The 14,674-nt window shown below is 38.3% G+C and overlaps 1 protein-coding gene across 28 annotated transcripts in view; it reads left to right on the top strand.

The window, feature by feature from the left end:
* The window catches only part of ZNF37A (zinc finger protein 37A), a 55,957-nt gene that overhangs the window by 19,173 nt on the left and 22,110 nt on the right, over positions 1 to 14,674 (top strand). For 14 of the 28 annotated variants that reach the window (NM_001007094.4, NM_001324246.3, NM_001324251.3 and 11 more), the window contains 3 exons: positions 1,246 to 1,372; positions 1,686 to 1,781; positions 3,881 to 11,116. In NM_001007094.4, coding sequence (NP_001007095.1) covers positions 1,246 to 1,372; positions 1,686 to 1,781; positions 3,881 to 5,328 — 1,671 coding nt within the window. In that variant the 3' untranslated portion in view covers positions 5,329 to 11,116. Of the gene's footprint in view, positions 1 to 1,245; positions 1,373 to 1,685; positions 2,185 to 3,292; positions 3,393 to 3,575; positions 3,772 to 3,880; positions 11,117 to 14,674 lie in introns of those variants that run through there. The other 14 variants (NM_001324252.2, NM_001324253.2, NM_001324254.2 and 11 more) reach the window with 6 other exon arrangements.

Genomic DNA, 14,674 nt, shown 5'->3' on the forward strand with positions numbered 1-14,674 from the left:
CATGAAGACATTCCAAGAGCAGCATGGCCTGCATGTGTCTTATTGTCACTCTGCACTCTCCCCTCCTGCAACACCCACCCTCCTGGTTCTAATTTCCAGACGTTCTAAGGCCTCTATGCAGGCCCTCTGGAAGTAGCCCTTCCTCTCTTCCTTTGCTTAGTGAATTCCCTCTTCCACATCTCCACTGCTGCCCCTTGGTATAGACAATCTACCTCTAATGCTGCTCTCCAGCAGTCTCAACTCTACTTTGGTGGCATTGCTTCCTCAGTGAAAACTGAATTATGTTACAGAGATTCAGGTGTGTATTTCCAGTTCACCATCAACTTCTGCTATTCGCATCAATGACCTGGGATGGGTGGAGCAGGGAGCCTATGGCCTAAAGGAAGTATGCAAGATAATTGTGTTTATGTCATATACTGCCAGTCCTTTAGGGCATGGGAGGAAAATATCAGCATGCCTATTTATATTTTTATCTAAAAAATAAGAACAAAATTAAGCTTTCCTTATATGTGGATTGGTTGTATTTTATTTACTTTATAAATAAATATAAATAAAACTAGTAGTTGCTAAAAATTTTTATGGATTAGATGAGTGATAAATATTTGGAGAACACTAACAGGATTAAAGCCAAAAGTATTTCCTAGTCTCCCTCATCTTCCATGCCTCTGCAACCTTTACCTCATCACAGGTAAGACATGCTCTTATCCTGTTAAGCAGTTCCACTGACTTGCCACATATTTTTTCAGGTTTTTAACCTTTTGTTAAGTTTTTCTTATATGTTTGCAAAGGAACTAAAGTTTTATCACTTTAGTGAAATCTCACATGATTTTGCACAGAACACTTTTATGATCCATCTGTGTTACACATAGCTGTGGTGTGAGTCCTTTAAGTCCTGTGGTAGGTATGTCTCTGTATGTATGTTTCCTTATGAGAAGATATGTTCCTCTCTTGTAAGGAAGACTCCTGTGTTCAAATTGGAATACTCAGAAACTAAGAAAGCTCTAGGCACATGTAGGCACTAAATATTTTTGCATTAAGTAATAAATTAATGCACCAACAGGATATTTCTACTATGATTTTTTACTCACAATATGTAACATAAAACAACATATATCATAGGGGCCCTTTATAACAGTTTCTATTTAATTTTCAACAATAAAAATGGTAAGAATTAGTCCCTAAACATCTTTTTTCACGTCAACTGATTCTTATCACTTCAGACTGAGCAAAATTGTGATTTTCCAGGGATCAGTGTCGTTTAGGGATGTGACTGTGGGCTTCACTCAAGAGGAGTGGCAGCATCTGGACCCTGCTCAGAGGACCCTGTACAGGGATGTGATGCTGGAGAACTACAGCCACCTTGTCTCAGTAGGTAGGTAGGAATTGTTTCCCATGTAGAAGGCCAGAATGCATGTCCTTTCTTATCAATAGAAACTTGTGGAACTTTTGTAAAATATAATAATATTTAGGTTTGAGATTCAGAGGTCAAGGACAATTTATCCCTTTTGGATACCAGAAAGAATGTTTTCCTCTGCCCCCATGACAGGATTAAATGAAGTGTGTGTGTGTGTGTGTGTGTGTGTGTGTGTGTGTGTGTGTGTGTGTGTACTGTTTGGGGTATACTGTCTTCCTCCTTCAGGAAAACCCACCCAGTTTGTCCCAAGTAATACAATTCTCATTCACAGGGTATTGCATTCCTAAACCAGAAGTGATTCTCAAGTTGGAGAAAGGCGAGGAGCCATGGATATTAGAGGAAAAATTTCCAAGCCAGAGTCATCTGGGTGAGTTAGTATGTGCCAGATGGAATTTAAAGGAAGGTAGATCACAAAGGGTAAGTTTGGATAATAAGACCATTGAAATGTTCTTTAGGAATCATGTTTTAGAGGCTCCAGACCTTTGGAAGTAACATGTTGACGTGACCCAAATATGCAGTGACTCTGAATCACCCAGCATCTCCCAGTATCACTTTCATACACACATCTTGTTGTTTTTTTTAAATTGTGATATAAACTATATAGTTTAGCCAGAGATTAATAAAATTTTATATATATATGTAACACTCATGTACCCATCATTGAGATGAATATATAAAGTGATTTTTCAACACCCCCAGAAAGCTCCCTGTTGTACTCTTCCCAGTAAAGAGCATCCCTCCTTTTGTAAAATTAAATATATTTTTCTATACATGCTTTTTTGAGTTGCTCATTCATTAGCTTTTTACCATATTTACCATTTTTTACAGAATTGTTTTAAAATAGCCTGGGCCCAGTGGTTCATGCCTGTAATCCTAGGTCTTTGGGAGGCTGAGGTGGGAGGATCACTTCAGCCCAGGAATTTGAGACCAGCCTGGGCAAAATAAGAAGACCCCATCTCTATGAAAACTTAAAAAATTAGCCAGGCATGGTGGCACACACCTGTGGTCCCATGCCTGGCTAATTTTTGTGATCTCAGCTACTGGGGAGCTGAGGTGACAGTCTTGCTTTAGCCTGGGAAGAGGCTGCAGTTAACTGTGTTTGTGCCATTGCACTGCAGCCTGGGTGACAGAGCAAGATTCTGTCTCTAAAAAATAAAAAGCAATTAAAATTAAAATTACACATTCAACCAGTAACGATTTCAGCGTGAAGCCTGAAAAAATTTGTGTTTGAAAAAGCTCTCCGGATAATACTGATAAACATTATTTGTTAAGTACCATTGATTTAAATATCTATATAGGGCACTGAGAGAAAATCATAGGTAAAGTAATGGCTGCCAGGAACATAGTTGTTGAACAAAAACAGAACTGCATGAAATATTTTAAAATTCAGTGTTTAACAAAGAATATTGTTATAGCAATCCAGCTGATGTTTGTGCTTAAATGAATTATAAAAACAGTCCTTTCATGTTTTTTAGTAAATGAACCTGGGAAATTTGGGAAGGAAACTTTTTAAAAACACTGTTAGACTGCAAACTGACAATGGAAAAACAATCAGTATGAGATTATGATGGGAATGAGCAATTTATGAGGGACAAACAGCTGAACTTACCTAGAGCGAAATATATTCACTCTAGACTTGTAAAAGAATGGCTTGGTTCTAATCTGAATCTAAATGTAAAGATATGTTTACTTCAGTGATACCTTGTTTAAAAAAAAAGTGTTTGTTCTTGGGACATTGGACTCAGTATAGTATAGGACAGTTGATGAAATAAAGGGCAAATCCCACAGCTGGAATAGAACCATAAACCTGATCCTGTGGCAAGGATGGCTTGTTCACTCACTGATTTCACTCTTATTGTTGCATACTTTTATTTCTAGTGAATCAGAGCTAGAAAAACAATTGAGCCAGGTGCAGTGGCTCATGCCTGTAATCCCAGCACTTTGGAAGGCCAGTGTGGATGAATTGTTTGAGGCTAGGAGTTCAAGACCAGCCTGGCTAACATGGCAAAATCCTGTCTCTACTAAAAACATAAAAACTAGCCAAGCATGGTTGCGTATGCCTGTAGTCCCAGCTACTTGGGAGGTTGAGGCATGGGAATCACTTGAACCCAGGAAGCGGAGATTGCAGTGAGCCGAGATCACGTCACTACACTCCAGCCTGGATGACAGAGCAAGACTCTGTCTCAAAAACACCACCACCACCACCACCAACAACAACCAAGAACAACAAAACCACACAGAATTGGAGCCTGGATTATAGGACTATGAATTAGAACTTTTAGAAATTTAATTTGTTGCTGCTGTGTTGACTTGAAAAGAGGTATAAGACTGGAAGTGTGCACATTGTCATAACATAGGTATGAGGAGATAATGGCCTAAACTGAGCCATGCCTTCAAATATAATGCTAAGTTTATTTCTCTTACATATCCTCGTCAACTAACCTTTCTTTTCACTCTGTATTTCAGAATTAATTAATACCAGTAGAAACTATTCAATAATGAAGTTCAATGAGTTTAACAAAGGTGGAAAATGTTTCTGTGATGAAAAGCATGAAATAATTCATTCTGAAGAGGAACCTTCTGAATATAATAAAAATGGGAACAGCTTCTGGCTGAATGAAGACCTCATTTGGCATCAGAAAATTAAAAATTGGGAACAATCTTTTGAATACAATGAATGTGGGAAAGCTTTCCCTGAGAATTCACTCTTCCTTGTACATAAGAGAGGTTACACAGGACAGAAAACCTGCAAATATACTGAACATGGGAAAACCTGTGATATGTCATTTTTCATCACTCATCAGCAAACACATCCAAGAGAAAACCACTATGGTAATGAATGTGGAGAAAATATCTTTGAGGAATCCATTCTCCTTGAACATCAGAGTGTTTACCCATTCAGCCAGAAGTTAAATCTCACTCCAATTCAGAGAACCCACTCAATTAACAATATTATTGAATATAATGAGTGTGGAACATTTTTCAGTGAAAAATTAGTCCTTCATTTACAACAGAGAACACATACAGGAGAAAAACCTTATGAATGTCATGAATGTGGAAAAACCTTCACCCAGAAGTCAGCCCACACAAGACATCAGAGAACACACACAGGGGGAAAACCCTATGAATGTCATGAATGTGGGAAGACCTTCTATAAGAATTCAGACCTCATTAAACATCAAAGAATTCATACAGGGGAGAGACCTTATGGATGTCATGAATGTGGGAAATCCTTCAGTGAAAAGTCAACCCTTACTCAACATCAAAGAACGCACACAGGGGAGAAACCATATGAATGTCATGAATGTGGGAAAACCTTCTCATTTAAGTCAGTCCTTACTGTGCATCAGAAAACACACACAGGGGAGAAGCCCTATGAATGCTATGCATGTGGGAAAGCCTTTCTCAGAAAATCAGACCTCATTAAACATCAAAGAATACACACAGGTGAAAAACCTTATGAATGTAATGAATGTGGGAAGTCATTCTCTGAGAAGTCAACCCTTACTAAACATCTAAGAACTCACACAGGTGAGAAACCTTATGAATGTATTCAGTGTGGAAAATTTTTCTGCTACTACTCCGGTTTCACAGAACATCTGAGAAGACACACAGGGGAGAAACCTTTTGGATGTAATGAATGTGGGAAAACCTTCCGTCAGAAGTCAGCCCTAATTGTTCACCAGAGAACTCATATAAGACAGAAACCCTATGGATGTAATCAATGTGGAAAATCATTCTGTGTGAAGTCAAAACTCATTGCACATCATAGAACACACACAGGGGAGAAACCCTATGAATGTAATGTTTGTGGAAAATCATTCTATGTTAAGTCAAAACTAACTGTACATCAGAGAATACACTTGGGGAGAAACCCTATAAATGTAGTAAACGAGGGAAATTACTCTGGGTGAAGTCAGAACTTTGTAGAACACAGAACATAAAGGGTGAGAGAAATCTGTTAATATAATGATAATGAGAACACCTTTGCCCTGAAGTCAGTTCTCACAGTATAGAAGAGAACTTAAAGAGGGAAAAAACAATATGAAGATAGGGAATGCAGGAAAACATTATTCTGGAATTTGGACCATACACTATGTTACAAAACTAAAAGTGGAAAAAACTTATTGGTGAATGAATATAGGAAACATTTTGCCCAATGCCACTCTTCATTAAACATCAGAGAATTCACACGGGGTGAAACCTGGGTCAGCATCCCTAGGTTGAGAAGGGATGCATTTTTCTGCTACTACTACAGTTTCACAGAATACCTGAGAAGACACACTTGGAGAAACCTTTTGGGTGTAATGAATGTGGGAAAACCTTTCATCAGAAGTCAGCTCTAATTGTTCACCACAGAACTCATATAAGACAGAAACCCTATGGGTGTAATGAATGTGGAAAATCATTCTGTGTGAAGTCAAGAGGCCAGAGAAAATGCACAAACTGTAGGAAACTATAGGAAAGCATTTACTATGAGGTTATATTTTATGGAGTATATGTAATAAGAAGTAGCTTCTCAGTGAACATCAGATAGTAGAGAAAGTATTTTTAACTGTATCCAATGTGTGGATGTTTTAAGTTAAAATCTAAATTTAATATAGAACAGAGGTGTTGAGTTGCAGGATATCTAGCAATTTAAGAAAATGTGGAAAAAATATTTTTATTGAGAAATAGCATTTTACTTTGTTAATATCTAGTTTAGTTCATTGTCAAGACTGCTATTTTCTAAGAGACTTCTAAAGACGCCACTCAAGCCAATGGCTATAAGTAGTTCAAAGGTTTATTGCTTAGCCATATGAAAAATAAGGGAAGATTTTTTAGCAAGGGGACCCACAAACAAGAGTGCTCTTGTATGTCCAGAAGAAAGAGAAAGACCATCAATCAGGGGCCATAGTACAGGAGCCCACCAGCAGGATTTTTGAATAATCCTAGGGCAGACTAAATTCAGACGACCCATCTCAGAATGGTGGATCAAAGCAGCAAGTCAATTTGCCTTGTATGCAACTTATGAGGATTAGTAGAAGAGAGTGGGTCCAGATTTCTGGTGGTTTCTGCCCTGCAGATGTCTAACACATAAGCCAGGACATTCTGCTGTGAGTGACTTATTGTACCCAACTCTATTTCTCTCCATACTGAAACATGTCTTTCATAGGTGATACAACTTTTTAAAATGTATGTGTAGATATAACTTAAATATGGAGCTTTCAAAAAGCACAAATAGGCTGGACATGGTGGCTCATGCCTGTAATCCCAGTACTTTGGGAGGCTGAGGTGGGCAAATCACCTGAGGTCAGGAGTTCCAGACCAGCCTGGCCAACATGATGAAACCCTGTCTCTACTAAAAATACAAAAATTAGCCGGGCATGGTGGTGCACATCGGTAGTCCTGGCTACTAGAGAGGTTGAGGTGGGAGGATCACTTGAACCTGGGAGGTGGGGGTTTCAGTGAGCTGAGATCATGCCACTGCACTCCAGCCTGAGTGACAGAGAGAGATTCAAAAAACAAAAAAAAAGCAAAAATATACTTTGCTATTGGGTAAGGTATAGTAGTTGGCAGCAGAATGGACCCATTGAGGATAACTATAAAATTACAGAAAATATTTAAATGCAACTTATTGCTATAGAAGCAAAGAGGACTAAAGGGCAAAATTCTAGAGAGTGGTAAATCTCAGAAAGCACAAGCATAAAATGCAGCTCTGGGGGCCCTTTCCACTTCTGGCTATAGGGAAGAACCTGAATACTGAACTTGATTCAGGCAGAGGACCATAACCTGGGGGTCAGGGGAAGGCATGGGGGGGACCAGAAACCAGAAGAACAATCAAGACTGCAATGAAAAAAATGGATACATTAGGAGCTTCAAACACATATAATTTCTCAAGAAATTTCCAGATGTCTCATGCTGCATAGGGCAGGAGCCTGAAAAGCTAATTTGAGAAGATAATAAGTAGGATTTTTGTTTTGTTTTGCATTTTGCAGTACAAAGGAGAAATGATTAGAACTTAGGAAGTGCCAGTGGGTTGGTGAACATGCCATCAGTAAAAGCCCTGGAAACAAGGTCATACTAGAGATTGGTTGTGCCTTGTCACAACTGCAAACAATACCTGAGTGGAGTATTCAAAAACTTGCTTAGAAAGAAAACTCTAGGAACAGATGGCTTCACTGAAGTTATTCCAAATATTTAAGAAATAATACCAGGCTTTTATAAACTTTTCTAGAAGAAAAAAGATGGAACTTTTCCAATTCAGTTTTTGAGGCCAGTACAACCTTGATAACAAAACCTAAAAAAAAAACAACAAAAAAACCCATAAAGCTATAGACCAAAGTCTCATAGATTTAGATGCAAAATCCTAAAATTGAAAAAAACATCTAGCCATATCCATAAACTATATCATCACCAAGAGATGTTTATTAGGGCAATCAAAAGATTTATTATTTTAAAAAAATCAGTGTGGACTTCCATTCCTCTTTCTTTTGATTCCCCCCTTTGACTTTTCATGTATCTCTCCTGCCTTCCTTCCCCAGAGTGGAGGAGTTAGACTTGCCTCGTGGGATGAGAGGAGTTGTGGCTTTGTGTCTGCTGGCACCAAGAGGGCTGAGGGTGAGGTGTGGAAGGGACAGGGGGAGGAGATGGGCAGCATTGTTGAGAGATTGGTAACACTGAGCAAATAAATATGTTGAGAATGATGACAGCAAGATTTCTCCATTAGAGAAGGTATTTATAAAAATAGGAATGAGGAGAGCTAGAAAACCTGGAGTGTGGCATTAGAATAGAACTCATATCTTTTAAATATATAGGAACAAATAAATAAATTGTTGTGTGTGCACATATGCATATATTTTGTGTTCATTCTACTGAGAGGACCTAAACACAATGACACCTCAGTAACAGTAAGCACACCAACTGCCAAGTTATTAGTTCCTAAATACTATCCACAAAAAAGGGGAACAGGGATGATTCCTAGTCAGAGATTGGGAGAAATACAAGATGAGCCTGAATCATCTCATGTACCTGACAGTAAGAAAATACTCTGGCTGGTCTCAGTGGCTCATGTCTGTAATTCTAGCATGTTAGAAGGTCAAGGTGGGTGGGTTGCTTGAGCTCAGGAGTTTGAGACCAGCCTGGGCAACATGGCACAATTGTCTCTACAAAAAATACAAAAATTAGCCAGGCATGGTGGCATGCACCTGTAGTCCGAGGTACTCAGGAGGCAGAGACGTGGGAGGATCGCTTGAGCCTGGGAGATTGAGGCTGCACTGAGCTGTGATCGTGCCACTGTACTCTAGCCTGGAAGACAGAGTGAGACCCCATCTCAGGAAAAAAGAAAAAAAAAAAGATGTCATTCAGCAGGTTAATGGATAAACTGTGGAACATCCAGAAAACTTTAACATTCTTCAAAGAAATAGAAAACACAATCCTAAAATTTATATGGGAACCACAAAAGACTTAGAATAGTCAGCTATCCTGAGCAAAAGGAATCAAACTGGAGGAATCATATTACCTGACTTCCAATTATTCAACAGAGCTACAGTAACCAAAACAGCATGATACTGGCATAACAACAGACACATAGGAACAGTATAGACAACCCAGAAACAAATTCATACATCTATGGTGACCACTTTTGACAAAGGAATGAAGAACATACACTGGGGAAAAGATAATGTCTTTAATAAATGGTGCTGGGAAAACTGGATATCCATATGCAGAAGAATGAAACTAGACCCCCATCTCTTAGCATATACAAAAATCAAAATTAATTAAAAAGTTAAATCTAAGACCTCAAACTATGAAACAGCTAAAAGAAAACATCGGGGAATCTCTCCAGGACATTGGAGTGGGCAAAGATTTCTTGTGTAATACCTGACAAACAGGCAACCAAAGCAAAAGTGGACAAATGGGATCACATCAAGTTAAAAATCTTCTGCATTGCAAAGGAAATAACAAAGTGAAGAGACAACCCATAGAATGTGAGATAATATTTGCAAACTATCCATCTGTATTAGGCCATTTTTGAAGTACTACAAAGAAATACTTGAGACTGAGTAATTTATAAAGAAGAGGTTTAATTGGCTCACGGTTTTGCAGGCTGTACAGGAAGCATGGTGCTAACATCTGATCAGCTTGTAGGGAGGCATCAGGAAGTTTCCAACCATGGTGGAAGGCAAAAGGGGAATAAGTATCTCACATGGCAGGTGCAGGGCAAAGAGAGGGGGGAAGGGAAGTGCCACACAACCAGATCTTGTGAGTACTCAGATTTTGTGAGGGGTGCTTGAGGTCATGGATACCCATTTACCCTGATGTGTTTATACACATTTCATACCTGTATTAAAATATCTCATGTACCCCATAAACATATACACCTACTTTGTACCCACAAAAATTTAAAAATAAAGTTAATTTCAATGTTTAAAGACTTGTTATTAAAATAATAGCAGTTTCTATAAATTTAATATTTCAATAAAACTCCCAGTATTTATTGTTAACACTGGAAAAAGTTTTCCAAAACGTATATGGCAGAAATATGGGCCTTGATGTGAGGACAGCATCAATTAATGAGGGATCCTCTCCCTTGATCAAAACACCTTCCACCAAGACCCACCTTTAACGCTGAGCATTACCTCTCAAAGTGAGATTTGGGCAGGGACTAATATCCAAACTGTATCAACATCTGACAAGGTGTTCACAACCAGAATATATAAGGAGCTATAACAATTCTATAGAAAAAAAAATCTGATTTAAAACTGGGCAAAAATCTGAATAGACGTTTCTCAAAAGAAGACATACAAATGGCAAACAGGCATATGAAAAGGTACTCAACATCATTGATCCATTAGAGAAATGCAAATCAAAACTACAATAAGATATCATCTCACCCCAGTTAAAATGTCTTCTCTCCAAAAGACAGATAATAACAAATGCTGAAGAGGATGTGGAGAAAAGGGAAACCTCGTGCACTGTGGAAATGTTATTAGTACAACCACTATGGACAACAATTTGGAGGTACCTCAAAAACTAAAAATAGAGCTATCATACAATCCCACAATTCCACTGGTAGTTATATACCCCAAAGACAGGAAATCAGTATATTGAAGATATATCTGCACCGTGTTTACTGTAGCACTACTCACAATAGCCAAGATTTGGAAGCAACCTAAGTGTCTAACAGCAGATGAATGGATAAATAAAATATGGTACATAAACACAATGGAGTACTATTCAGCCATAAAAAAGAATGAGATCCTGTCATTTGCAACATTGTAGATGGAACTAGAGATCATTAAGTGAAATAAGCCAGGCACAGCAAGACAGACATCATGTTCTGACGTATTTGTTGGAGCTAAAGATGAAAACAACTGAACTTATAGAGGGTAGAAGGATGTTTACCAGAGGCGGGAAAGGCAGTGAGGGCATGGTGAGGGGGAAGTGGGGAATGTTAACGGGCACAAAATGTAGAATGACTAAGACCTAGTATTTGATAGCACAAGGTTACTACAGTCAATAATAATTGTGCATTTTAAAGGTATAATTGAATTGTAACACAAAGGATAAATGCTTGAGGTTATGGATACCCCATTTACCCTGATGTGATTATTAGACATTGCATGCCTATATCAAAATATATCATGTACCCCATAGATATATACACCTAGTATGTACCCACAAAAATTAAAAATAAAGTAAAATTTCAATGATTAGGAAGACCATTGTTAATATCAGTTTCCTTTAAATGTTTCTATAAATTTAATACAATTTCAATAAAGCTCCCAATATTTATTCTTAGTACTGGAAAAAGTTTTCCAAAATGTGTATGGCAGAAATAGGGCCAAAATAGGCAAGAAAACTATTTTCGAGATGTCAGTTTTCCTCAAATTGTTCTATTAATTAAACGCCACCTGAATTAAAATTTGACAAGTGGATTATAAATTTATGTGGACATTCAAAACAATTATGGATACATGAGTCCAGAATCACAGCCATAAACCATGAGGTGCTTGGGAGATTTTCAGAAAATATGCCAATGAAATCCAAGGGGAAAGACATGTCTTCAAAAAGTGGTGTTACCTTTGACTCCCCAAAGCATATATAAAGCCTCTACTCATCATAGATCTAAATATAAGAGCTCAAACTTAAAACTTGTAGAAGAAAACATGAGAAAATTTTTGTAGGTTTGAGTTAGATGATGATTTCTATATAGGACAATAAAAATATGGAACATACAAAAATAAATTTAATGCACTTAATTATAATACAAATGATTTACTCACTTTAAACTTTGATAAATTAGATTTTGTTAAATTCAAAAGCTTGTGTTCTTCAAAGCACACAGTTAAGGAAATGGAAAGGCGAGTAATGGACTAAAAAAAATACCTGTAAAACAGCTTTGGTTAAGAATAGAAGAAAAATCCTAATAAGAAAATTGGTGAAAGAATGGTGTGGAAAGTTCACTACAGAAAAAATATGAATGGCAAATAATCCTGATTTGGGGGAGAGTGTTCAATACCAATGCTAATTTTTTAAATGTCCTGTGTTTAATTTTTTGGAGTTTGTGATTTGCAACATGCCCCTACTGCATGGAGGGAGAGGAGATGGTAAAATGAACAGAAGTAATAATTGTAAACATAAAATCTCAATGGGTCATAATTTTCCACAGAACAGAATAAAATGTGTAGCTGTCAATTTAAAACACCACTCAGTAGGAGCACAATACAATAATTCCACTATTCTTAATATGGGCCAAATTTCTGATCTTGAAACCAGCTCAATTTTCCTATACAATTGATGTTTATGGGGCTTTTTTGGGGAATAAACATAGAAATTGACTGTTAGACCATTCTTGCATTGCTATAAAGAAATACCTGAGACTGGGTAATATAAAGGAAAGAGCTTATAAAGGGAAGAGGTTTAATTGGTTCAGGTTCTGCAGGCTTTACAGGAAGCATGTTGCTGGGATCTACTTGGCTTCTGGTTGAAGCCTCAGCTTTCGGTCATAGCAGAAGGCAAAACAGGAGCAAGAGAGAGGGAGTTGGGGCAAGTGCCACATACTTTTAGATGACCAGATCTTGGGAGAATTCAGTATCAGGAAGACAGCACTAAGCCATATGAGGGTTCCATCCCCATGATCACCTCCCACCAGGACTTACCTCCAGCACTGGGAATTACATTCAACATCAGATTTAGGCAGGCAAAAATATCCAAAGTATAGGATTGACCTCCCAGTCTTAAAGGTTGAGAAATTTAACATTTGTCATCTGAGTTTCTTTCTCAATAAACCAATCGTTAGGACTCTCACATAGTTTTACGGACCTGAAACTTTACAGAGAACCACAACTGGACAATGAGACCTGTTGGCAGTTGACTAACTCCTCTTCCTTCTCTCTCATTCCTGTTTTCCCACAGGTGGTTACAATGAGATGCTAGACCTCTCATCTAACCACCTGCTGCCTGTTGATCATCTTCCTTACTCCCCTTAATTCCTGTCTATATAAACTCCTAACTTTAGTTGGGAGAGAGACAGATTTGACGGTTAGACTGACAGCATCCACAATAAAGCTCTTCCCTGGCAATACTCGTCTTAGTGACTGGCTTTCTGTATAGTGAGCAACCACACCTAGGCCAAACAACACATTTGTTCTACTTGATCCTCTGAGCTAATATCTTTGCCTTATAAAAACTTGCCTCACAGCCACTCAGATCAGGGGATGGCCAATGAGGAAGAAACCATTAAGAACTATGTTATCCAGTTTTGTCTAGGGCTGCTGTGATCGGGCAGTTCACTGTGCAGTGAGAAGCCTCCAGAGCAACATGCAGCAGCCCTATCATCACCGTTTTCCTCCTCCATCTAGCAGAAATCTTCGCACACTTGTGAAGCCAACTATAGCCATAACTGCACCCCAGGCCGAAGCTTTTTGCTAATAACTAATGAGCTAGAAAGGTGGGGTTGGCCCATTTCTCTGTGCATTGTATCTAAGCCATGTAGTTTGGGCCCTAGAAAAGAGCTCTACCTAATAATGAGCTATTCTGCCAAACAGTCAACTGAGGATTTAAAAACTTGGACTTGTAGGGACTTTCAGTATTCTCTAATAAAGATGCACTCTATGTCCATATCTTTTCGTGTTTTCAAGTGCAAAAAGTAAACATTTTTGCTCAGATATTCCAGTTACCAAATAATTCATATGATGGTATTGGATTGACCCCCAAAAAATGTAAGATGAGAAACTGGGAAAGGCTGATATGTTCACCTCCTCCCATGTTCATGGAATGGGAGATGTACCTAGTGAGATTTGTAGTTGTATGGAGCTTGCCGCTGGCTTTTTCTGGACTAGTTTGAGACACTCAAGCCCCAGAATCCTTTAAAAATCAGTAAGGTCTAGAGCGAGGACCCTCAGAATGTCTGCTCTTTTCATCTTTTCACTTACGCTAACCACTTTCTTCACTGATGACAAGCACTCAAATTGTATTTCTCTCTTTAATACTAATATACAAGTGTTAGAAATGAAAAATAGTAAACAAAGGATGTATATAATGTGTGTGATACTTGGCTTTAAATGAAACCAGTAATGTTCCAACTAAAGATGTGCTTTCCTAGTGTTACACAGCTCATTCAGGTGGTGAATTTCTCTAAGTGCACTACTGGTATATGATGAGTAGTTGCAAGGGGCCAGTTTGTTAGTAGAACACCTGGGTTAGAGGCTCTCCCACTTCCTCCTACATCTGTCTCTGGTTCTCCACTCATTTCAGGACCCCTTTCCTCAGCTTCTCTAACATACCAAGCCTGCATCTACTTTCAGCAGGATGCCATTGACACAGAGGTAAATACTAGCCGAATTCGTGACTTCAACAGAATTTGAGCTGAAGTAAGTATTTGCAGAAGTATAACAAACTCAATATAATGCATGCCACAAAAGAGGTGTGGTCGTAGTGCCAAGGAAGCAGAATGAAAGAACTGCATTTTCAGGTAGAACAAGAATAAGAAAGTTACCTGAAAAAAGTGACAATTTACGCTGATTTTAATACTTGGTATAATTCTAGTGGGCAGAGAAACACATAGGCAGTTGAAACTGAGAGAGGGTGGTTATCTAATGTAATAGTTAGGGGATGTTTGGGGCTGTGAGTCATGCAGTTTGGTTAATGAGTGGGGAAAAAATGTAAGATCTATGTGGAGAATCTAGAAATTTGCTGTTGGAAACAAACTGAAGAACATGGAAAGATATCTGCACTAAAGTGTGGGATGTAATTGTGTTTTAGAACCTAATCAGA

Source organism: Homo sapiens, chromosome 10 (assembly GCF_000001405.40).
Source record: "Homo sapiens chromosome 10, GRCh38.p14 Primary Assembly".
Taxonomy (NCBI): Eukaryota; Metazoa; Chordata; class Mammalia; order Primates; family Hominidae; genus Homo; species Homo sapiens.